Source organism: Homo sapiens, chromosome 20 (genome assembly GCF_000001405.40).
Source record: "Homo sapiens chromosome 20, GRCh38.p14 Primary Assembly".
Classification (NCBI taxonomy): domain Eukaryota; kingdom Metazoa; phylum Chordata; class Mammalia; order Primates; family Hominidae; genus Homo; species Homo sapiens.
Window position 1 is genome coordinate 18,711,801 of NC_000020.11, and position 25,094 is coordinate 18,736,894.

At 43.9% G+C, this 25,094-nt stretch overlaps 1 protein-coding gene across 1 annotated transcript in view, besides 1 other annotated feature; it reads left to right on the forward strand.

The window, feature by feature from the left end:
• Window positions 1–25,094, forward strand: part of DTD1 (D-aminoacyl-tRNA deacylase 1) — a 178,591-nt gene that overhangs the window by 123,747 nt on the left and 29,750 nt on the right. The window lies entirely within an intron of this gene.
• Window positions 16,401–16,924: an enhancer, noted in NCBI's record as "H3K4me1 hESC enhancer chr20:18708845-18709368 (GRCh37/hg19 assembly coordinates)". NCBI's record gives its function as "activates a minimal SCP1, AML or CMV promoter by ChIP-STARR-seq in naive H9 embryonic stem cells {active_cell/tissue: H9 hESC(naive)}" and the evidence as "EXISTENCE:reporter gene assay evidence [ECO:0000049][PMID:30033119]".

A 25,094-nucleotide genomic window follows, 5' to 3' on the forward strand; every position in this document is an offset into this window, starting at 1 on the left:
TCTGGGAGGTGAGCAGGAGGATCACTTGGGGTCAGGAGTTTGAGACCAGGCTGGCCAACATAGTGAAACCCTGTCTCTACTAAAAATATAAAAATTAGCCAGGAGGCCGGGGTGGGGGTTGCCGGGGGTCGGGGGGCACGTGCCTGTAATCCCAGCTACATGGGAGGCTGAAGCAGGAGAATTGCTTGAACCTGGGAGGTGGAAGTGGTTGCAGTGAGCCAAGGTGGCACCACTGCACTCCAGCCTGGGTGACAGAGGGAGACTCCGTCTCAAAAAAAAAAAAAAATCTAACTTCTTCCACAAATATTTCTTCATCAACTCCATTCTGCATGGGTTTTTCCTTAGAGTACTTAGGGACTCTAGTGTTCAGTGGCATACTGTTACCAGTGTTTCATCTTTGTTTTACAGTGATTAAGTCTTCACTTTCCAAACTTCTTGAGCCAGGGGTTCTTGTTTGTAATTTTTTGTGCTCTCCACAGGGATTAGCACAAGAATAAGCTCATAAACATTAGCAATTGTGTTTTGAAATTCTTTCCTTTGTGACCACAGGACACATATGATATCATTTTCATAAGTACTGTGTGTGTGTTGTGGGGGTGGGGGTGGGGGGGAAGCCAGGATGAAGTAGTGACTCTAATCCCATGATCAGATGTCAGCAAGACTGTCCTTGCTCCCGCAGTGGTCTCTCTCACTTGTGTTTTAGCTGGCTATTCATTTACAATGGAATCATTGGATCATAAGTCAGCATGGACCTCGACCCGAGATCCCATATGAAAACGAAATCTTAACAATGGAGACACATGCCATAAATTAAGGTAATTCCCTCCCACAGGCTTTTCAATAAAGTAGCAGTGGGCCCACTGTGTCTGCAAAGGTCCCCAGTGGAAATAAAACCCCCAAATGCACATATTTGGGATCCACAAGCTTACCGGATACTTCTCTACTGTGGCTTGCTCTAAGCATAGAACAATCATGACCTTACGTGGCTCACGCAGAACCCATTTTACCAGTAGCTGTGTGGACACCGGAATGTTTTCTTCCTTCAGCTCCCCCAAATCCTTTCGTGTACAGACTCCCCTCCTTACCTTGCCACATAAGGTACCAGTTTCATCAGAGGCATCTGGCAAGGCTCTCATGGTTTGACTGTCACCAGATCTCTCTGTAATGGGATTACCATTTTAACCTGTTCTCTTTCCCTCCCCTGTCCTGGGTTTCCACTTTCCCAGCCTTCCTTCTTCCTTTGGCCTTGGCCAGAAGGGGCTGCTGGAGAGCTGTTCCCGGGGCTCACCATAGCCTCTGCTCCCCCTCCCATGGCCTCCTGCCGAGGCTGGCCCTCCGGGCATCTTTTGCAGAGGTCACTCTTTGAAAGATGCCTTTTTTTGTGCTCCTCTGCCAATTGTTCTTTCTGTCTAGTGTGTGTCCTCCTGGCATTTCAGGAGCTGTTTCATGTAGTGTCTGACTTTATAGGTGTGCACCTAATGACTTTAAAAGGCTTATTTTTAGGTTGCTGTTTTCTTCCCCAAACCTTTTTGCTCCTTCAGAAATGTCCTCTTGTTAAAATCTTCCCAGGGTTTCTATGCATGCTTGAGTGCTTGATTCTCCAGTTTGATTGGATGAGCAAGCCCTGCTTCCTGCTTCCTTTAGAAATATTCCACCCTGGAAGGGACCTGACAGGATGGTAGTGGCTGTGGGTGTCTGCATTGGTTGAGCTGCTCAGTGTTTTTGGTCCAGAGACTGGAGCAGGTCCCTGGTGCACAGAAAAGGATTTGGAGGATCCTTAGCCTGGGTTCACGTCCCCACCTTCATCTTCTGACCGTATCCTCCGTTCCTCCTTTGTCAAGCCTTAGGCTGTTTTTTTCTGCATTGGTCTTCCCTGGACATTCTTTTACTTACCTTGGTTCTTCGTTCATGCACTTTCTCTAGACTAAGGTTTCTCTCTGCTCATATAGTTATCCCCATTCTTGAAGGCTGCACTGAAGACCATTCAGTGTCTTCGGCAGCTCTTGATGTTCTCTCCTCAAGGGCAGGTTATACCCTCATTTTGCTCTCCTGTTGTGACATAGCGTGGTTGTGGATAGAGTGGTCCTTCTTGGATGTTCTGTTGCCTTCACGCAGGTGAGCTGCCCAGAGCCCAGCACGGTCTGGGTTCTCATCCAGAGCCTGGTCTGACCTGAGGAGCCCTGACCTCCAGCCTGCACTCCACCGTCTCCTGGAGATGTGACCTGGAAGGCCCAAAGGTCTGCACGCTTTAGCTCACCATCTGTCAGATGGGGGTGACTGTGAGGCCTACCCACCCTTCCTCATCATTGTTAGAGTCAAAGGAAAGGCAGGATGAGAAAGGGGAGTCTATTAGGTAAACACAGAGCAAATTATTTTGCCAAGTCATTTAACCTCTTAGGACCTGGTTTTCTAACCTGTGAAACAAGAAGGCTGTACTAGATATGTATTTTTGGACCAAATAACCTTTTTTGTTTTCCCATTCCCAACCACTTGTGTGTTTGTTTATTTCCTCTGATCTGGGGTACTGTTTCATCAGGCTTCTTGTTCTCATGCTTGGGTTCAAGCTGTTTTTATTAACATAAATCCCCACATTCTGTGCTGATGATTTCTTGCTATGGGGATAATTCTCTTTTTCTTCAAGTTTCCTTCTCCTTGGAGCTAGTTTTAGGACTTTTCATTGACTCTACTCTTCACAGGTAGAGGAGACTAGTTAGGATAAGTAGTTTTTTCCTTTGTTCATTTCTGTGGCTCCTGTGCACGTAGGCTTCTGAAGAAGCACAGATCCGGGGTGGTGGAATTGACAGACACTGTCTCCTGCAGTGCTGCTTGGAACCAGGGTCAAGGCCATCGTCTAAGTGGGACACAGTGAAGCTGTCCTTTAGGAGCACTGAGGCCTCTTCTCTTGGTGTCTTTCTCAGATGAGGAGCAGGTAAGAAGATTAGTTTTGATGAATCATCCAAGTCCTGGAGAAGCTTTAAAAAATTTCTCCTCAGGGCAAAACTAATTTCCTATTTCAACTAGAAGATTTCTTTCAATAGGTGATACCTTCAGTACCCCAAGGAGAAACTGGGTGCCGACACTCCTGCCCCTTCAGCCAAACGCCTGTGTTTGGTGATATGACATTGGTGATATGAACGAATGTCTATTGTCCAGGGCTTTTAAGAAGTCTCTGGTTCCAGTGCACAGGCCTTTCCTAGATTCTAGGCTGTGCAGGCCTTGTCCCTGCTTGTATCTCAGTGACAGCCTGAGGACCAACCCTGACTTTGGACACCAGGCTGGGCCAGCTGGGGCTCTGCCTTTGCTGCATCTGCCATTGGTCCACCCCGAGTGGGTGTCATCCCTGAGTCCTAAGTAGTGACCAACTACTGTCATACACTGTCCCCTCCCCCACTCCATTTCCCCCAGGGTCAGAACACAGCAAGCCCTGTCCCTAAACTTGTACTCCAGGGACATTATGGAAGGGTGCCTGCTCCCCCAGATCACTCCCTTGACTGGGACCCCTGTTGTTGATGGTGTGCTCCAGGCTGAGTCAGCCTCCCCACCCACCCTAGCAGTTGGGGAACTCTTCTGCATATCTGCTTCATCTTTGGATTGTGGCCCTTTGAAGGCTCCCTGTAAGCTCCCTGTCCTGCAGTGGTTGCTAAGTGGTGTCTGGCCGTGTACTGGGCTACAGCATTCACGGTCAGAGAAGCATCAGACGAGACCGGGTGCATTTGGGGTGGGATGGCCATCGACTGAGAAACATCAGAAGAGGAGGCTAAATTAAACCAAGTCACAAAGTAAAGCATATAATTACTATTTCTATTCTGGTGGGGTAAGAGATGGAAACCATTGTTTAAAATGAAACTCTGGGATTTTCTGTGGATGTAATCTATAAAATGGTGACTAACCAAAAGTTGGCAATGCTGGTTTTACTTGCATCCCTAGTGACAAATTATTTGGACTCACATGGAAACATTTCCCATAAACTCTAAAGGCTCATGTGTCAGGTTGTCATTCATAGGCTTCACATTCTGGGCAAACAACAGGTTCATGTCCTGCGCTGCTTTATCTCGGGAGGAGTCGGGTGCTGAGTCTCCAGCATGCAGATATTCTGGTTGTATCTGGAGTCTGTTGTTGGCACTGACTCTTGTTTGGGCTTAGTTTATGTCATGTTTGAAACACAAATTGAGTGATTTGAGGTTGGACCCCCTTACTGTACTGTTGAGTTTGTGCTAAGGAAAGACCAATCCTGCTGTGCTCTTGGTTTGCTAGAAGCTTCAAACTGCTTTTCAGGCATTTGGATTCACCAGCACCCAGCATGTTTCAATGGTACCTTCTTCATCTATTTTAGAGCCATGTGTGTTTTGCAGCAAATGTAACCCATGTGGTTTGTTTCACACACTTCCTCCAAATATTGGTTCAGGATCTGAACCTTTGATATCCCAGAAGCATTTGGATTCTCTCCTTGAAAAGGCTGTAACATTTCCCCACTTCCCAGAAAGGGGAAATAATGTTTTAAGACTGAGGAAGGAACTCAAGCTCCACAGTGTGTCTGGATTCAGGTTTGTGGCACGTGGGGTCTGACTGGTTGGGGAAGCAGCATCATGTCACACCGGCCCCTCCTCACTGGGGTCCAACTCTCACCAGGAGACACATGCCACCCGCAGGTGGCTGCCGGGTCTCACGGGAGGCCCATGGACTTGTCCAGGGTCTGCTTGCTAACTCACAGAAGGAGTAAATCTAAACTGACGGAGGCACTTAGGGCTTTATTTTTTCTTTCTTGTTTATCTTGAAAGGTTTTTAGAAGGGAGATGTCACAGTCTTTTAAAAATAGTAAGATAGGCCAGCCTGTGGTGTTGTAAATTTCAATTTAGGTAAAAGAGTACACTTGACTCGAACAATGTGGAGGTCAGGGGTGCCAACTCCCCACTAAGTGGAAAATCCAAGTAAAACTTTTGACTTCTCAAAAACTTACCTGCTGCTAGCCTACTGTTGATCAGAGAAGCCTTACTGGTAACATCAATAGTCAATTAACACATATTTTGTATTTTGCAAAAAGGGTAAGGTTTTCATGTTTTCTTGCACAGCTGCAACAATGGCTTCATGAATTTTCTTTTTTTTTTACAATGGTTCTTATGCTGGATTCATTTATCATGAAATGGTGGGGGACGGCAGCTGCAGGCCTCAATCTGAGGTACACATCAAGCAGTCAAGCAATTCAGCTTTTCCTTGGAATGTTGTAACTTTACTCTGCTTCTTGGGAGCACCTCCAGTGTCATTAGTGGCACTTTGTTTGGGTCTCACAGTGTTATTCAAGGTTCAAGTTATTGCATTAAACACAGTGAAAAATACACAAGAACCAGGAGAGATCACTTTTTACTGCAATCTGCAATTTACTGGAGAGATGACTGCTCACGGGAGATAATTAGCATCACATGGTGTTTTAAGTGGATTCTTGCAACAGGTGAGTTCACCATAGTAGTAACAGGAAGTGGCTACAAAATGATTACAGTGGTACAGTATGTACCACAGTTAGTTTGATGCAGCTACTATGATTTAATACTGCATCTTTACATGTGTTTACATTTTTCTTGACTGCAAATGGTGCCATGTACAGTCTGTGTATAAGTTTTTGGTAAATTTTAGCTTTTTATAATAGATTTATGTATATGTTATGGCAGTAAGTGACAAAAATAGACTAGTATCTATGTATAGTTTATACATAGTAAATTCGTGACATACCTAACTTTTTCTCAATTTTTCCATGTTTTTAGGCTACACAGTTTGCAAATTTTCAAATTGTCTCATATCTTCAAAACATTTTCCAGCATATTTATTGAAAAAATTATGCATAGTGGATTCTCACAATTCAAACCTGTGTTATTCAAAGGTCAACTGTGGTTCATCTTCTGTAATGGAACCAGTTTATTTTCTTCTGGGTCTTTGATTGCAAGAGTTCTTGTTACTTTAATCTTTTGGACTGTCCCCTCAGAAAACTTAGAGCTTAAGCTAAATGTGATCAGCTAGAACTTCTCATTAACCAGCCATTGCATGTTAATTAAAAACTCAGTCTACAGAGGGTGCCAGTGGATGTGGAGAAATTAGTTAGAATTCTCCTCTAAACTGAAAAAAAATATGGTATTTAACAGTCCAGGATTAAAGATTTAGAATGTAAAAAGACTTAGGAAAATGTAGCTAAAAGATGGGCTCTGTCTGGGTTCAAAAGGAAACAGGTTTGGGAGCCTCTTGGGAAACAGCCAAAGAAAACCAAATGTTTTTAGGTTCAGTTTAAGATTAGAGTTAGATTTTTCTTAACCAGTCTTTACCAGTTTATCCTGCTCAATCTTGGGTTTATTTCTTTAAAAATATTCAGGAAGAACAATGAGCTTTGAAGGTTCCAGTAATATTACTTTATTAAAGATATTTATTTTGGATAAAAAGCTGGAGATCTATGTTTATTAATTAGTTAAGTTAGTTGGAGGATTCTTTCATATTTCTGAAAGACAACCACTAGGACTGTGTGACCATAGGGTGCTGTTACCTCCAGGTGGCAGCGACCTTCAAGGGCCAGTGTGGCAACCAGAGGCAGCCATCCCTGCAAGTCGTGGCACTTGGTGGGGCCGTGTGGGATGATAGAGCCTGGGATTCCAGAGGGAGGATGTATGGGATAATGAGGGGGAGACATGTTTACATTTGGAAAAATTAGAACTGTGGAGCAAAGAGCTGCCTTTAGGGCAACAATCATCTGTGTAATACATCTATATTATTGCCAGTATATAATTGTGATAATGTGTACTATGCAATGCTATATAGATTATATAAGGTTGAACCATATGAATTTGCTGCTTTTTGACCATTTTTATTACAAATACTTCAGTTTTGTATGGTTCTATCTAATATAATGTTATACATATACATGCACACACACACCCCTCTAGGTTCATAACATTCTTAAAAAGAGATTGGCTTGTAGTTCAAGAGAAAGACACCAGCTATTAGTTAGCCCTCTCTAAGTTAAGGAGAACTTATTTTATGTTCCCTTTGGCCCACATAAGAATCCAGAGTTAGGCATGTCAGGGGAGTGGTAGCTCTGTCCTCTGCCTTGGCTGGAGGCTGGACCAAAAGCCTGACTTGCCACACCTTCTGCCCTGAGCAGAGAGCTACAAACCTTTGTCCTTCCTTGGGGGAGCATGGTCTCCCCGTTTTGTACAGATGCTCCTAGACTTAGGATGAGGTTTTGTTTCGATAAAGCCATAATTAATTGAAATATTGGAAGTTGAAAGTGCATTTTTGACTTTGTATGTTTTCAACTTACAATGGGTTTACCAGGATATAACCTCATCCTAAGTCAAGGAGTGCACTGAATGCTTATTACTTTCACACCATCTTAAAGTTGAATAATCTTGTAAGTTGGGGATTGTCTATTTTTTGTGTATATTTCTGTGTGTGTGTGTATATATATATGTGTGTGTGTGTGTGTGTGTGTGTTTGTGTATCTTGATTATTCATGTATTTCTCCACATCTCCTCCTACCCTAACCTATTTCCTAAAAGTATATTAGGCAGAGTTCCTCTTATTAGTGCAGATCTAAAGGCCTGGCCTAGGCCAGTTTTTGTAGGTGAGTCCTTAAAATATGGCATCTGAGGAATTAGCCACTAAACTGTCCCATCAGTTGGAGTGGCTGGAATGGCTGGAGCCTTTACATGAAATGGGATTAGTAGAATGTCACATTATGGCAAACCTAGTGATTTTGAGGACCCAAGTTGTGGAAACAGGCGTTGTTTGTGGTTACCAGTGCATAGTTTGTGGATTCAGCTCTTTCTCCAGATGAAGAGTTCCTGGAGACTGCGAGGGGTGAGTCAAGCCTCCGAGTGGTACTGCTGCTACACATGGCAGAAGAGGGACAGCTGCTGCTTCCCCACTGGGCATGCCCCTCCTGTCCCTTGGTGACAGCAGTCCAGCCTCTGGTGGTGGCTGTGACTTAAGACACTTACTTTTATGTAATTCTGTGGCAAGGCATTTTTAATCATTTTGTCATAATAATTTATTTTGTCAGAGTTGGGGCATTTTAGGCAATTGAAATCTGTTGACATTCTAGAAATCTGGTTCTTGAGTCTGATATTGTTATCACCATTTATCAAAATACAGCTACATTTACTCAGTTAAAAGCCTGAGGCAGTAAGGGGTGCAGTTTTTAAGATTCCTTACAGAACAAACAGATAATGATTTTCTTCAGAGCTTGGATATCAGCCTCACTGGTATAAAAGGAGAACTGTTTGGATGTATTTCTTACATGTAAATAACATCAGAGTTTCTTCTGGGATTTGCATGAAGACCATGGCTGGTTTGTAAAGCACTAGATCTAGTGGAGTATATGCCACACTCAGGCCATACCTGTAATCATTTTTATTTTCAAGACTCTAGTGTAACTTTGAAAAAGTGTATCACTTAGTAGGGAGGAAAATGACCAATTGGTTTTCTACTATTGACTGTTAAGAGAACATTTCATACTATCATAAATGCAGATCAGACATAAAATATACTTAATACTAACTAGGTAACCTCATTTGCACCTACCTGCAGAAAAACTTTTCGAAAGTAGGCCTCCTTCCTTAGAGAAGATAAACTTAGCTTTTGTCCCTGAATTACCTTCATAAGATTTTCAGGAAATATCTGTCTAATTTATTCTGTTTTAACCTTTTTCCTTCAAATGCATCTCTGTTGCATTTGTAGTGTTTTTATCAGCAGATTCTTATTTCTACTCCCAACAGGTAACTTTAAAAGTTTTTTGGCCAAGCAGCTTGGCTCAAACCTGTAATACTAGCACTTTGGGAGGCTAAGGCATGTGGATTGCTTGAGTCCGGGAGTTTGAGACAAGCCTGGGCCACATGGCAAAATCCCTCTCTACAAAAAAAACATACAAAAATTAGCCAGGCATGGCAGTGTGTGCCTGTAGTCCCAGCTACTCAAGAGGCTGAGGTGGGAGGATTGCCTGAGCCTGGGTGGTCAAAGCTGCAGTGAGCCGAGATCAAACCACTGCACTCCAGCCTGGGCGACAGAGTGAAACCCTGTCTCAAAAAAAATTTTTTTTTGTTAACATGTAAAGTATGATTCAATTATGATTTCCTTAAGACACATTAATTTAGATATTATATCCAGCAACCTTGTTAAACACCCTAATGTTTTATAATCTGTGACCTGCAGATTCCTTTGGACTTTCCATGTAGATAGTCATGCCATCTGAGATTAATGACAGTTTTGCTTCTGGCATGACAACCGCTATGCCTTTTATTTCCTTTTCTTGTCTTACTGCACTGTCGAGTACTTTAGTATAATGCCAACAGAAGTGGCGCGAACAGACTGTCCTAATTTTAGAGACAATGCTTCTATTGTTTCACCATCCAGATGGTGACTGCTATAAGTTTATTTTGTTTCAATAAATCCTTTTTTAATAGGTTTGAGCACGTTTTTTTTCTGTCCTAGTTTCTTGAGGGCATTTACCATGTGTGGCTACTGAGTGATGCTCATTTGTTCATGTGGCCACATGGTCCTCCTCCCTCTTCACTTGTTAATGTAGTGATTAATTTTCCAATGTTAAACTATCTTTGCCTTTCTTGGCAAAAGTCAGATTTGGTCATAGTATATCATCATTTTGCCAGATTTTAGTTTGTTAATACTTTGTTTAGGAGTTTTGTATCTATGTAGAAGTGAGCTTAGTTTATCATTTTCCTTTTTTGTTCTATTACTATCTAGTTTTGTAATTGAATTAATATTATCCTCATAAAATTAATGAGTTGGGAGGATCTCTTTCTTTTTTCTGTTGCTTTAGAAGAACATATCTGATTAGAACGATCTGTTCTTTGAATGTTGGTAGACTGTGTCTGTAAAACCGTCTGGGCCTGGTCGTTTTCTTGTGGGAAGTTTTTTTTCCTCCCACTTTCAAAGCCAGGCTTGTTTCCTATTTTAAGTTTTATTTTAGATATGTTCTACAGACTGTGAAGGTGTTTTGGAGTGGTTGTGGAGACACAGATGGGAAGCTGTGGGGGCTGGGTAGTCAGTGGCATTCCTCCTTCAGCTCCAGCCCTGCGCTCTGTCCTGGAAGAGGACAGGTGGCTGGGTCACACCCGGGTCTGTGCAGTGTGGGAGATGAGAGACATCAGTCTCTTCAGGCCGCTCCCCAGAATTAAGTCAGGGCAACCCCAGGGCTCCATGAGGACCTTGGCAGTGTTTTCCTCTGACCCACATAGGTTAGCCAGGCTCTGGATGCCATTCGGTCTGTGCTAGCCACCATCGAGGGTGGCTGGACTCCTCAGGCCCATCTGATTTCGTGGCTCCTTGAGTGCACATGCTGTCCAAGTTCAGACCTCATCCCCACTCTCCTCTAGCTATGCCCTTTCCTTTGGCATGGCTGCATGTTCTTACAGCTCCAGTAGATGTAATTCGCACTGTAGTCTGTGGGCATGGGGTTCCTGGGAGTTGGGCCCTGCCCATCTGGCGGTACCAGGCACTCAGCATTGTGCACAATCCTAACATGCCCAGGCCACTTGGCTAGGAGCCAGTGTTGAAAAAGCAGAGATGGCACAGAAAGGGCCAAGTGGAGCAATGCATATGGAATTGGACGTCTGCACTTTAAGTAAAGGAGACTTAAGATGGTTGTGGAGGTGGGAGGGGAAAGATTTTATGTTCACATTTATTAAGATACTGCATCATGTTTGATAGCTTTTCTTGAGTTGATGCCTGGTTGATGGAGATTTACAGTCTTATGTTAGGTTCATTTGGCTTAGATGGAATGTGTTTTTTATTGACTCATTCACCACTTGCATCAATTTTATGACTAGAGTGTGAACTATCCAGCTGTATTATTGGGGACTGTGCTTGTTCATCATGGGCACACTCAGTTTCCCTGCTGAGTAAAATAAGAGACATCATAGCAGGTAGGTGGACCTGCTGGGACTGCAAAACATGGTTTTAAGGAATGGGCTGTCTTCGGTGTAGAAGTGCCAGGTAAATGGCAGGCTGGTGCTTTGGAAATCATCATTCAGATACAGCAGATTTGGAGCATGCCCCAAATTTATTTATCAGTTTCTGTCAAAATCTGAAAACACTGTCTTATTTTTCTGGACCTAAAACACACAGAAAAGTCAGCACCATAAGAGAGGGAAAAAAGACAAAAAAAGTCAAAACACATAGAAACAACATCTAAATAAATACAGAAGATTCCATTATTCAGTTAATGATATGAAGTTTTGTGTGTGTCTGGCTTGTGGAAAGAGTCATATCACTTTAGACCAGAGTTTCTCAGCCTCACCACTCTTGCCATTCTGGGGCAGAACATTCTTTATTGGAAGGGGCTGTCCTGTGCGTTGTTGGATGTTCAGCAGCATCTCTGGCCTCTGCCCACTGGGTACCAGTAGTGTGCCCCCACAGCTGTGGCAACCAAAAATATCTCCAGAGACTGCCAGTGTCTAGAGGGGCAGGGGAAGGCAGGAGACAGGAGGAGTGCTAAGTCACCTCTAGCCTAGAGCCCCTGCATTAGATGCTTTGGTGCCATTGTGGTCATCTTGGCTATTATTGTCCCTGCTACTTGGCTCCATACCAGTGAGATAGAGGCTAATGATAATAATAAGTATATTTCAGGAACCTTAGCCAGTCTTACCTACACTGCCTGTCCAAGGCATTTACAAAAGCAGGAATGTTCCAAGGAATTCTGTATTTCTAAAATTTTAATTTGTGGAATAGAGCCCATGGCTAGCCTGATCACAGGAACAAATGATCATATTCCAAGCAGGTTATTTTCTGTAGCCAGCTCTGATATCCACACTACAGTACACTTGGTTTTGTATGTATAATTCTGTCGGTGCAGGGTATAATAGTCTGTTTGAGAATTATTTAATAACACAAGAGATTGTTACAGGTGAATTTACATACCTCAAATTCATGCGTGCTGCAGCTCCATTGTAGAGGAAAAGGATTTTAACCTATTGCTTCCTACACTTAATGATTCTATGAGTTCAGATATTTTTGCTACAGGTATCAAAAGATAAACTGGCCTAAATGATAAGGACATGTATTAGATCACATAACCAAGTGCTAGAGGTCAGGCTCTGTCAATTGAGTGGCTCAGTAGTGTCCTCAAGGGTTCAGACTCCTCCTGTTTTCCATTTAGTTTTCTAAGTGTGTTGGCTTCCCTCATGGTCCTAGAGTCACCACCACATTTCCAGGCATTGCGTGGAGACACACAGCAATGATCAAAGGCGGAAAAGGGAATGTCCCTATCTCCTGCCCCCTTTTAAGACTTTCCTGGAAGCCCCTGGCAAACTTCCTCTCACGTTCATTGGCCAGAATTCCATCATGTACTTTGTCTCAGCCAACACCAGCAAGAGGAAAGCCCCATGAGCTCTGTGATGGTTTAGACTGGAGCCCGTAGGAAGGACCTGGCTGTGTGGAGAACAATCCACTAAAGAGGAGTTCCATGAGCAAAGAAGAAGGTGGGGCAGCGTGGGCAGGTAGGCACATGGGTACCTCCCACTGTGGTGTGTGGGCAGTGACACCTTTGTGAAATTTGTATTCATAAAATTTTTGTATTTTGTGTGTGACTTGGGGAGAGGGGTGATGATATTTATTGCCCTCAGCCTTCTGAGCAGAATGGCCATGGAGAATTCTATTGCCCAAGACCTCAGTTCTTCTATCATAATACTCATCGTTTTTTCAAAAATTGGCTCATACTAAGTGATTAGATTTCTAGAGTTTAACTTTTTAATAACAAAAAGTTCAAAATTTCATTTGTAAGTAGTAATTATTATAAAGATGGACTATAATGTGTGAATATCACCTTACAACTCAGCCATAGTTTATGTATCAAGTTTGTAACCTAGAATGTGATTTAGAATCTGTAGTGGGCACTAAATATTGTATACACTTTCATTTTTCTTCAAATTGACCTAAAAACAGGAGCCTTCCCTCCCCTGGAAAGATTTAAAATATTTGAAAATGTTTTTTCACTTCCAAATAAATGGGGATCTATTTCATTTCTGTGTAAGATTTCCAAGAGAGGAAATCCACAAGCTGTCAGCAACCTTCCTGGAACAAGGCAGTCCTTAACTAATAGAAATGTGACTGGCATGCCCCCTCTTTTGTTCTTTCAGTGGTGGAATTGATGCAGGGCAGGGAAGCCCCTACATGGGGCTCAGCCCGTGAGTGAGGGTTCTTGGCTTTACCCAGGAAAGAACCCTGGTGAGCTGGAAGTAGAAGAAAACAGCTGTTATTGAAGAGGTGGTGTTACAGACCTGTGGCTGTTCCTGCAGAGCAGGGCTACCCTGCAGGCAGAGAGTAGCAGCTCAGGGCAGTTTTGCAGTCATATTTATACTCACTTTTTATTGCATGCAAAGATTAAGGGGTGGTTTATGCAGAAATTTCTAGGGAAGGGATAGTAACTTTTGGGTCACCAGGTCATTAGCATGGAAAGGGGCAGTAACTCCGTGGTGTTGCCATGGCAGTAGTAACTGGAGTGGCACACTGATGGGCGTGTCTGATGGAAAGCTGCTTCCACCTGAACCCTGTTTTAGCTAGTCCTCAGTTTGGTCCAGTGTCTGAGCCCCAAGTCTTGAGTCGAGTCCCACCTCCTACCTCAGAATGGGTGATAAATGGATTTATATTTTTATTTGTAGTTCATAAGCAAATAGTTTGAAGCAATATGCTTTAGCCTCTGTCCTGATGTCACTGGTTTAAATAATTTGTTTCTGTCAGGTTGAGTTCTCTTGGGTCCAGGTCTCCAAGCTGACCTGGCAGGAGCCACTTTTTAATGACGCTCTTTCTCTAAGGTGCTCCACTCGTTTTTTGCGTAAGATGCTGTAATAGCCTCACTTTGAACTCTCCGAGGTGTTCCTGGGCTGGGCTCAGCATTAGAGCCTAATCCCAAGTCACCCTCTGCTTACAGAGGCTCACATCTCTCATTTCTCTGGATGATGATGGTCAGTATCACCATCACCCCACACCAGTGTATCCTCAGTTTCCTGGTTTTAACTGCTCAGCAGATGTCCGACAAAAAACCTCCCGATATCATCAGTGTTTTCTTTCATTCCCAGGTCTTGGTGTCTGGTGTGACATTTTATCCCTAGGATTCAGACAGATCTTCCAAGATGGAGGCTGACACCCAGCAGAACTGGGAGCCTCCTTGCTCTGCTCCCTCCAGGCAGCTGGGTACTGTGGTCAGTTCTAGACAACTGGCATCTTTGTGTGTGGCTCTCCCACCTGGATTGTTTTGTTATAGAAGAGGGAAGCCAGTTGGTGCCAAAGCATTGGATTATCCTCAAGTTCACTTGTCTAGATCCTCACATGTTTAGGGATGTGTCTGAATTTACAGGTGTGGGTGGAGTGGAGTCGCCTCTGGCATAGTCATTCTGTGAATCATTGATTGAACCTAAAATGCAAGCATTTATCTTGATGGTCTGACCTTCCTAGTGACAATGGGGGCATTTTCTTTTCAGGCTTCGTCAAGTGCATTCTTTGCTTGTTTGTCCAGGAATGTTCCTGATCTTGATTTAATAATTGAAAATCACTCAATTTATCTGTCAGCCTCTGAGCCCCATGTTTACCTTAATTCTCATCATGAAAATTGCATTGTACAAGTAATCTAACACAAATTCAGCAAAGATGAGGGGGGTGTTTTTGTCAATCAAGGGTTTTTTTCCTACCAGGTTACTAACATAATTCAGCCTGTCACTCATCAGGGTAAATGTCAGCTGCCTTCACCAAAATTTAGGTGCCTTGTGCATGGATGTGAAGAGACTCAAAATCCTAGAGGTGTTTCTGAGGGAAGCCCCATTGGGATGACTAGGAATTCTACTCCTTGTTGTCACTTAGTGGGGAGTGTTGATACTTTGGCCAGCAAAGAAGATCCAGACTTAGTCCTGGGGGTTTTGATACCATTCCCAATACCTCTTCCTCCCCTTGCCCCCTTTCTTGGGGGACAGACACCTACCACACTGCTCTTCCCCGTTATGGTAATTAATACCATGCATTGTACTTTTGCTCACAGTCCAGACCCAGGAGATGGGGACACAGTGTCTTCTTAAGATGCTGCTTACTTATAGGGGCCAGAAAGGACTCTCCTTGGAGCTGACTTTATCTTTCCCAGAGAAGGGAAGTGGAATGCTGGAGACAATTGAAGAGTTACCAATCTTTGCATTCCAGGCACCTGTTGGCCTTGGCTGGCTGAGAGTCTGTGAGGACGGGTGGACTCTTGGGTGCTGGGACCCGTGGCTATGGGGAATGAGCAGAGTGACAGAGGAGTCCTTGGCAGGTGCTGTGGTGAGGTAGCAGCTGTAGTACCTGGGACTTGGCCGCGTGCCTGGAGGCCTGGGCAGGGCCCATGGGTGGGAGCAGAGGGGCCTGCCTGAGCTTTGGAGCTGCATGACAGAATGTGGATTCCCCCACGGCTCCCGGGGGTGAGGTGTTGTTTAGTGGGAACCTGGAGGGCAGCCTCAGCCCAGCCCTGAGAGAAGACTAGTGTGAGGTGGCTCAGAAGCCCCAGGCATGAATGTAGGCTTGGGCAGGAAACAGGATGAGGTGGTAGGGCTGAGGAGGGTTTAGAATTCCTGGAGGGTAAAGTGCAAGGCGAGAGGAAGTGGGTGGCGAGGAGACTGGTGAGGCTGTTTGAAGCTGGGTCTGGGTGGACTTCTGTAACACCTTGATGATGCTCTTCGGCCCTGAAGGAGAGGGCGGCCCTGGAAGGGATCTGGGTGGGGAGAGACGTTATTCTGTAATGAGTTTTAGTGAGATATTCACATGCCACACAGTCCGCACATGTGAAGTGCACAGTTCATGGCCTGTAGTTCATTCGCAGAGCAACCATCACCATGAGAAGACCCCTGTTTTTAGCTGTCACTCTCCCCTTCCCACCATCCTCCCCAGCCCTGAGCTGTAGATTTCTCTATTTTGGGCATTCCATGTAAAGGAGGGCACACAGTATGTGACCTTTGTGCATGGCTTCTTTCACAGAGCAGAGCATCATCGGTGTTTGTCCATGCCATGGCACGTGTCAGCACTTCAGTCCTTATTTCCATGTAATCTTCCATCATGTGGATATAGCACACTTCACTCACCCACCTAGCGGTGGATGGGCATTTGTGGGAGAGGTGGCCTAGGGTGAAGCAGAGGGGAGGCTGATGGAGAAGATGGTTTGTTCACTGTGGAAAGGGGGTTCCAGGGAGCTTAGGTGAGAAGGGGCTGAAGGAAAGGTAGCAGTGGCAGGAACATTGTGAGTGTGTGGGATAGGGGATGGGAGGGGCATGGGTAGGACCCTGGAGGGGTTTTCAGTCCCTTCATGGACTTGGAGACTGTCAGCCCCTCCTGGCCTTCCTGCCTCCTTGGCTGGCCTTGTCTACTTGCTGAATACTGGGGACCCCTCAGCCGGCAAGAGGGCCCTGCCTGGGCAATGGGCTAGCTAAAAGGTCCCCTGGAGTGTAGGGAAGAGGGCGGGGCCATCACCCTGAGTTTGGCTTCTGGTCAGTGGCACAGCAAGACCTGGCTGGGGGATGGGAGTCAGCCCATCTTCAAAGCCACTCGAACTCTGATTGAAAACCGTGCTCCCTATGAAACCTCAGTTTAAGATAAGCCCTCTAGCCCAGCGCTTCCTAAAGTTCAAGGTGCACAGGAGTCCCGTGGGGATCTGTCAGAATGCAGATTGTGGTTCTGCAAGTCTGGGTGGGGTCTGGGAGTCTGCATTCTGACAGCACTTTGGAGATCTGCCATTGCTGCTCCCAGGACCAGCCTCAATTCCAAACAGGTCGTTGCTCCTCAGTCCTATTTCGGTGTCTGGATGTGGGAATCTGTAAGTAGGGGAAGTGGAATAACCAAAGGGATGTGGCCCTAAGGTTGTCAGATCTTTTTGAGGCCTCATTTGCATAGGAAACTCACAAGAGCAGCTGTTGAGGCTGGCAGCAGTGCTTTCTCAGAGCACAAAGCAGTGCTCATGTGGCAGGAAAAGCCCCTGCCTGGGTCCCCTGGGTCTGTCTGGTGGTAGGTGTATTTTGAGTCAGGAGAATAAAAATAGTAAGATGGCTCTGAGCATTGCATCCATTCTCCAATTTCATTGTTAGCACACTTCCTCCCAGGAGTGACAATTCCTGACAGCATCCTGAAACTGAATTGAAGCTAATGACAAAGATACCTGGGAGCTGGGCACAGCAGCTTTTGTTTGTACCAAACCTACGGCCGATGCTTGCTTGCTTGATTGCTTAAGATAGGGTCTCACTCTGTTGCCCAGGCTAGAGTGCAGTGGTGCAGTCACGGCTCACTGCAGCCTTGACCTCCTGGACTCAAACCATCGTCCTGCCTCAGCCCCTCAAGGGGCTGGGACTACAGGCATGTGCCACCACGTCTGGTGAGTTTTTGTATTTTTTGTGGAGTGGGGTTTTTCCATGTTGCCCAGGCTGGTCTTGAACTCCTGGGCTCAAGTGATCCTTCCGCCTCATGGCTAAGGCTTTTATAGATACATTTTCTTCTACAGAAATAGAGTTCATGACAGTTTTGTCGTGGTTTGCTAACATTTCTTTTCAGAAGTAAATGGCAGTGATAACACACGTTCAATTTCTGGTTCTTTGTGAGCTACTGGTAGATCCTGAAACTGAACAGGCTCAACCATGGCCCCGGGGTATTCAGAGCTGAGATTTCAATTAAATTTGCAGAAGTGTCATAATAATACTTTTGAAGAGCACTTCATTTTCTCTGACAAGCTGCATACTGGAGAATTGTACATTTGTGATCAATAGTGGTTTTATTCCTCTTCAGATATTTTGTGGGGAAGCAAGTCATATATTAGAGCCCTTTGGCAAAGCCATGACTAAAAATGAAGTGTCATCACTTCTGTGCTTTAAAAAATTTATTATGTAATATTTGATAGCTGAAAAGGAGTATCTGTAATACACATGTGTCAAAAGCATAACGACAACACAAACAGCCTAGGTACTGCCTCCCAGCCTAAGAAGCAGAGCGACTTCCATACCCAGGGCCTTCCTGCCTCCTCCCTGCATAGCCTGCCCCTGGCCGGGAATGACCACTGTCCTGCCCCTTATGTTCATCACCTCCCTTCTTCCTTCTCTCTCTGAGTGGCTTCTATTGCACATGTGTGTCCCTAGGCAGGTGGCCTGGCCTTTGTATTTGAGCCCCTCCTCCAGTGCTGTCCTTTTGCTTGTGTCTTTTCTTCTAGGTGGGGCCTGTGTGTGCTCTCCTGTTTCTACCTGCTCCACTGCCAAACAGTCCCTCAGAGCTGACTCTTGTACTCTTCCCCAAAATATATGCTTTTTAATGATGAAGAGATGGGAATTGTGGTTTTTGTTTACTGCAGCCATTTATTTTCCCTATCAACACCTCAAGTGGTAAATCAATCTGTACAGAATATGTCATAGTTTAAAGAACTCTCTTCTTATGGGTATTTAAGTGGTTCCACAGTTTTTACTATTGTAAAAACCAGTGCAGTGAACATCCTTTTGCATGTATCTTTGTGCTTAACAACCAGTTATTTTCCACAAGATAAATCCCAATGGGTGTGAGTGCTGGGTCATAACAAGCATATACTTAGTGCTTTAAAATATGCATTGCCAAATTGCATTCCCAAGGCCCAAATTTATACTCCTATCACCAACATAAAATATTCCTTTCCTCAAACCCTTGCAAAGGCTGAGTATTGTAATTGTTTAGTCCTTATCAGTTTCATGAATCATAAGTTATATCTTATTGTTTGTATTTGTATCAACTTAATTGCTAATGAAGTTGAGCTCTTCTTTTCCACAAGCTCATTAGGCATTTGCATTTATTTACAATTTTTAAATTGATTGTGAATCTGGATTTTGGATCCAGATAAGCTTGATTATCTTCTCGTTTGCATTTTATATTTTCTCATTCAAGAATTAGTTTTGGCATTTGTATAACTCATTTGGCATTGTTACATTACTTAACATAATTTCCTTTATTATTCTCAAGAGGCTGGAACTCTTTTATGAGTCATTTATTCATTTATTTTTTAAGGATGGGAATGATGTTATATTTTCTGAATATTTGCGTGTTTTGGAATGTCTTGGTTGACATAGAATATTTGGGTCACCATCTTTTACTCTCAGACTCTGTGGACATTGTCCTGTCCTAGTGTTTGGTTGACTGAGTTCCTTACTTCTCTTCGTCCATTCCTCTGTTGTCATGCAGTCTTTTATTCACCCAACATATAGTTTGTCAGTGTCTTAGCGTCCTGCCTGTCCACTTGCATTTAGTGGTGTGGAAGGGAAGGTTAGTGCCCTTGTTATGGATCTCCTTTCTTAAATTTCCCTGAGGGTCGATCCTTCCCTTATGTACTGAGCCTTTCGTTAGCTGATGGGATGAAGGATTGTAGCCCTTCTGTAATGTTTTTTCATATTGTCTTTTCTGCATCTGCTCCGCTCCCTCCTTTTACAGTTCCTATCCTACAGATGACTGGATTTCCTGTGTTGAATTTCCAAGTTTCTGCTTTCTGCTTATCATCTTTTCCTCTGGGTATCAGAAAAATGACATGAACTGATTTTTCTGAATCATTAGTTTGGTTTTCTGTAGAACTTGATCTGTTGTTAACCACATCCACTGTGTGTGCTTTCTTTCTCCAATCAATTTAAGTTGTTTATTAAAGTATTATGAACATAATTCAATATCACATAATACCTGAAGGTGTATAATGAAAAATAACACTCTCTGCCTGTTCTCCGCCCTCAATCCTTGTCCTCTTATCCATAAGCAACCAGCTTGAACATATTTTAAGCAATTTCTTTATGTATTTTTTCTCTATTTCTAAATAATGAACTTTTGCTATTTCTTGATTTATTAAAATTTGACATTATTTTTTCATGCTGCTATACAGATGAAGACTCAACACTCTTCACTCCCTACTACTTTCCCTCTCTCCATCATTGTTATGTCATTATTTTTAATTGATTCAATAAGCAATATTTATTGTCTGGACTCTGTAACTGTTATGCACCACAAAGCTGTGTTATATCCTATAATCTTTGTTGCTGTTGTTCAGCCTTTTGCTTTTCTGGGAGTGTGTTCTTCTCTTTCTTTTCTCCTTGAAGCCTTGGGGAATGTACTTCTATTTACTCCTCCTGCTCCCAGGCCTTCGCTCCAGTGCCCCTCTGTGGAGCCCACTCTCTGGAAGCCTTATTAGCTCCCATGTGGGCTACTTGCTGTCCTGGCTGCTGAATGCACGTCCTGCCCAAATTTGGTCTCCACCTTTCTCCCAGGTCATGTCTACTGCTCTTCTAGGTTCCATGTCTTCCTCTCTTGTTTTATTGTTATTTTGTACAATAATTCTTCACTGTTCCAAATCTGCTTGCTTGGCATTTATACAAGGTATAGACCAAGTGGGAGAGGAAAAATGGTTCTCTTTTTCTTAAGACTCTAGTAAATTGAAGAAACATTTTGAATCACTTAAAGAACACTGTTAGTTTAAAATGCTCATGAACAGTGTTCTGTTACCAATTATGCATTGGAATACCAACACTGAAATTGCTTAAGTATCTCCTTAAACTCTGTTACAGTTCATGATTATTAACCAGACATGTGCCGACAGGGTAATAGATGTTGACTAAAGTCTAAAGTTGATGTAGAATCAATAGGTGCTGATTACTTTTGCCTTCTAATAGCTTACGACCTACAAAATGGTAAGGGTACACACACCAGGAGTACATGGGGGGCATGGCCAGTGCATCTCCTTCAGTGGAAAGGGAAATGGTTACTTCTGTCCTCTCTTTGACGTTTTACCATTAGCCCCATTAAAGGAAAAACCCAGGATATAGGTGTGGTGAAGCAAAGGCGACTTCAGCACTGGGAGTGTTAGAAGTGCAGTCGATACCTTGTTCCCCAGTAGGGTTAGGGAATGGACAGCAACATAATACAAAACCCTGGCTACTAGAGTGTATCGTTTGTCACACGTATGGAGTACTGGTTTTCAAAGAATTAGCATATATAATAAAAATGTGACAAGATTATACTCAAACTTACTTGATCATTCCTTCTCATTCCAGCCTCTTTAAGTGCCTTGCAGGGTGGGGAGTAATCCTGAACATCCGCCATGGCCTTCCAATATGTAGACACGTAAACCAATGTAAGCGTCTGGTTAAGAGAGGGCCAGATAATGAGTTACACATAACGAATTCTCATGTTAACATGTGGTTTTTTTCAAAGCATTTAAAATGCTTGTGGTTTAGGTCCCCAAGTGAAAGGATTTAGGTATACAGGTGGTTTGTTTAGGAGGTCCTTCCATGAAGGAAGTGAGGACTAGGAAGGGAGGCCAAGGGAGGAAAGCCTAAAAGGGCACGTTAACCATCCCAGGTGTCCTCAGGGGGACTGTGTGGGACATATCTCAGTTGGCTCAGTGGGCAGAAGGAGGGTGGGGTTCTTAGCACCCCATGTCTCATTTCTCAGTGACTGAGGACCACTTCTAGAATCCTTAACTTCTGGACACTTCTGGCCTGCCCTATACTCAGGCCTTGTGCCCGCCTGTGGCCACAGGGTGTCCTTAAGCAGAAAGGGGCAGGTGCTCAGGTAGGAGGCTGTGGATTTGCAGGTCAGTTGTCCATGGAGGCTGCAGGTGACCTCTGGGCTGGGGGACACAGTGGGCTCTGGCAGTGTCTGTGGTGGGGAGCTGACAAAGAGGTTTTGAGGGCAGCTACACTGATAGGGAAACACTCTTGGGCTGACCTCTAACCTCTCCCATCCCACTATGGTCTGAAACAAGCAACCACTAGGGCCTGAAGGCTGGAGGTGTTCCACCATGTCCCCTTGCAGGGAAGGAGTAGACCAAAGAGACTTAGCTAAGTCAGAGTAATAAGAATAATAGAAAGGCAACTGAACTGTCCCTCTTCTTATTTTTGCATACTTAAAAGGGTTCTTTCAAACAATGGGGAATTAGAAAATGAAATTAGCTTGCATGATTTCAGATGGGGACAGATGCCTGTTTGCTTGATTAAAAAAAATTCTACAAAAACCTCAAGCAGAGTTAATAATGTATGAAAATTAGGTACCATGTGTGCACTTTGCTTCATAATGTTTTTGTTAAGCAACCAGTTGATTTAAAAATAATGCAATGCCACCACTGACATAATGGCACTCTACACGGTGTGTTATGGAAACATCCTCTCTTAATATTCTGTTGGGTTTTCCATTACACAAGGACATTTTTTTAAAAAGCTTTCAGAATTATCACATAATATGAAATTATATCAAGCTGCAGTTTGAGAAAACAAATTATTCACATATAAATTCCAATTGTGTTTTAAACATGTTTTTATCAGCTAGAGGTAATGTACGGATGTAGGTCTCTATAGATCTTGTAAAATGCCACGTTAGATTCAGACTCCTATCCTCAGATTTTTACCAATAAATGACATTTGCTCACTGCAGGTTGCCTCCTCCTTCTTTCCCCGTCCTACCCTCTGCCACCAGGCCTGTAAGTAGCAGGAAGAAACAGGGAGAAGCCAAAGGTCACAGACTCGTGGGATTTCAGTTCAAGAGATGTCCCACTTCTGAAGGGAAAGATGAATCTCTATACGAAGTTGACACATGGTCATTGGGCTGGCCAGTGGTGATGTCCTCTCCCTGAGTTTGAGTGCAAGTCTCCATCATTCTCATGATAATCCATTCCCGAAGATGTCTCATCTTGCTACAAAGGGCAGTGGGCTTCTCAGGCTACTGTGCCCTTTTTGGGCTTTATTGCATCTGGACAGTAGTGGTGGAAAGTTGCCTTCCAGAAGTTTCTGTGGCCTAGCAGAGCACACTGAGGCATGGTGAAATTCAGAGAAACAGCCTAAACCATTTTTCTGTGTTCCACAGCATGCATTACTCTTACATTGTCTTGAAATTCTTCATTATTCAACTAAGCAAATACCAAATGACAGCTGGTTGTGTTTATCTCCAGGGTGACAGAATGATCACACAGCATGGTTTAAGTGACTTGACAAAAATCAGAGCATTTGTTACTGGTGGTAGTTGATGGACACTCAGAAAGGACAGTGAGCATTGTGGAGATAAATTTCTAAAGCTATTGAAATGAGTTAATGGGCTAATGGATGGGGGCATTTACCCTTTTGCCTTTAATTCATGTCTTGACTTCTGCGGGGTCTGGCTGGGCACGTCCTCTGCACAGCATCCTCTGGTTCCAGCCGTTCCCCCTGACATCAGCCGGGCCACAGGAGTGGGCGAGAATGCTGAGTAATCCACCTTGAGGTATTTTTAAAAGTAATTGCAGAGGAGATATTTGATCTTTATGACTTGCACCATAAGACTTTTTTGGAATCTTTGCAAGGGTTTGGTTGTAACAGAACTTTTCCGTCTACATTATGATCTATAAAAATCATAGTAACTGACTTTGTGGGATTTGAGTTCTTCTTTTGTTATTTTCTTTGCTTTCTAATTAGATTTTGCTCGTATGCAGGACAGAGTAGTCTGGCAGATAATAACTAGCATTAAAGTAACTCAAAGATAGGGCCATACCTGGCATTGTCCAGCAAGAATGGAAACAGGGTGTGCTGTCCTGGACCTGTGGCAGTTACGAGAAGCCCCTGTGCAGGTGTTTGCGCCACAAAGAACCAGGTCAACTGAAGGCTTGGCCAGGAGTCCTGAGACCTGGTGCTCCTCCCAGCCTGACAGCTGCCTGGAGGTGGCATGAGGCGGGCTCTTATTTAACTGACCTCATCTCTATTGTGTTCAGAAGCAATCTTCAAATAATAATATCTGTTCTTGATTTTTCGGAATGCCAAAGGGGACAAATTGATTGTCACAATCTAAGGGGTCATTTATTTACTGAGTGTGAAGATGGACTTTTTAAAGAGCTTAAGATTTCAAGTTATGTGCATGGGCCCTTTGAGGATGGAGGTGCTCTTTTTGTAAATTGTAGACTCAAGACAAAGAATAAGTCTTGAGTTGAGTTGAGTTTTGTGGGACTTATCACAAAAGTAAACTAGGACATCTATGAGAAGCTGTAATTTTTCACCATCATTCCCCAAAATCATGTTGGAAGTAAGTTTAAGACACCATCACCATCTCACTCTAGAGCACCAGTGTCCAACCCTTTGGATTTAAGGACTTTTTTGCTTCTCTGTGGTGGCAGATATCATGAAAAGTATGCACAGACTCTTTTTTTTCAGTAGTTCATCAACTATCATTAGTGTAAGTGTATCTTATGTGTGGCCCAAGACAATTCTTCTTCTTCCAATGTGGCTCAGGGAAGCCAAAAGGTTGGACATCCATACTCTAGAGTAATCCTTCCTTTCAGGGATTTCCGGGCACCTGTGTTCTGAAAGGACTTGCCCATAAATCAGTTTTCTAGAACCCCTTCATGGCTAAATCTAGTGCTTAATGGCCTGGTAAACTTGGGTGTTCCTGAGAGAGATATGGGGGTGATGGCAACAGCAGACATCGTGTTCCTGTGGGCTAGGTTTTAATCCTTCAAGCCTAGGTAAGTGCTGCTGGTTGCAGGCAGCTCACCTTGTCTGATTTTCCCCTGGAGTGAGTGGAATCTTCAGGTGGCCTAGAGTCCAACTGGACACAAAGTGCTCAGCTCTCCAATTTGTTCACAAAGGTGCGCCCTCTGCCTCATTAGTGTCCATGGGAGCCTGAACTTCCTTATTCATTTCATGTTCTGTGTCATCGTCACCCTGGATCATCCCACAGTGTGAAGGGATCTGTCTTTCAAGGTGCTTCATGAGTGATGCTATGTGTGTGAAGGAACAGAGGCAAATCGCAATTCCCTGTTGATCTGGTGCTTTGCACGACTCAGGGCGTGTGCACCTTGCAGCCACCCCCTCTCCTTGCCCTGGGCATATCATGTACAGAAAAACAGACCTTGACTGGCTGCCCAAGAGCCTCTGTTTTTTTCTTCCCAGTGGCCTGCTGCCTGCTTAAGAGACAGATACCCCAACTCCGAAGGCAAGCCCCTCACCTGCCATTGCCAACACCTATGCCCTCTGAGTGCTGGTGAAGAGTTGTTCAGTTTTGCTACTCAGCTGGCATAAAAGCTTGAGCCTCTGTGCCCTCTGAGGCTATTGCCTGGCCTGATCTTGCAAACAAAACCTGTCCTGTCCATTCATTTC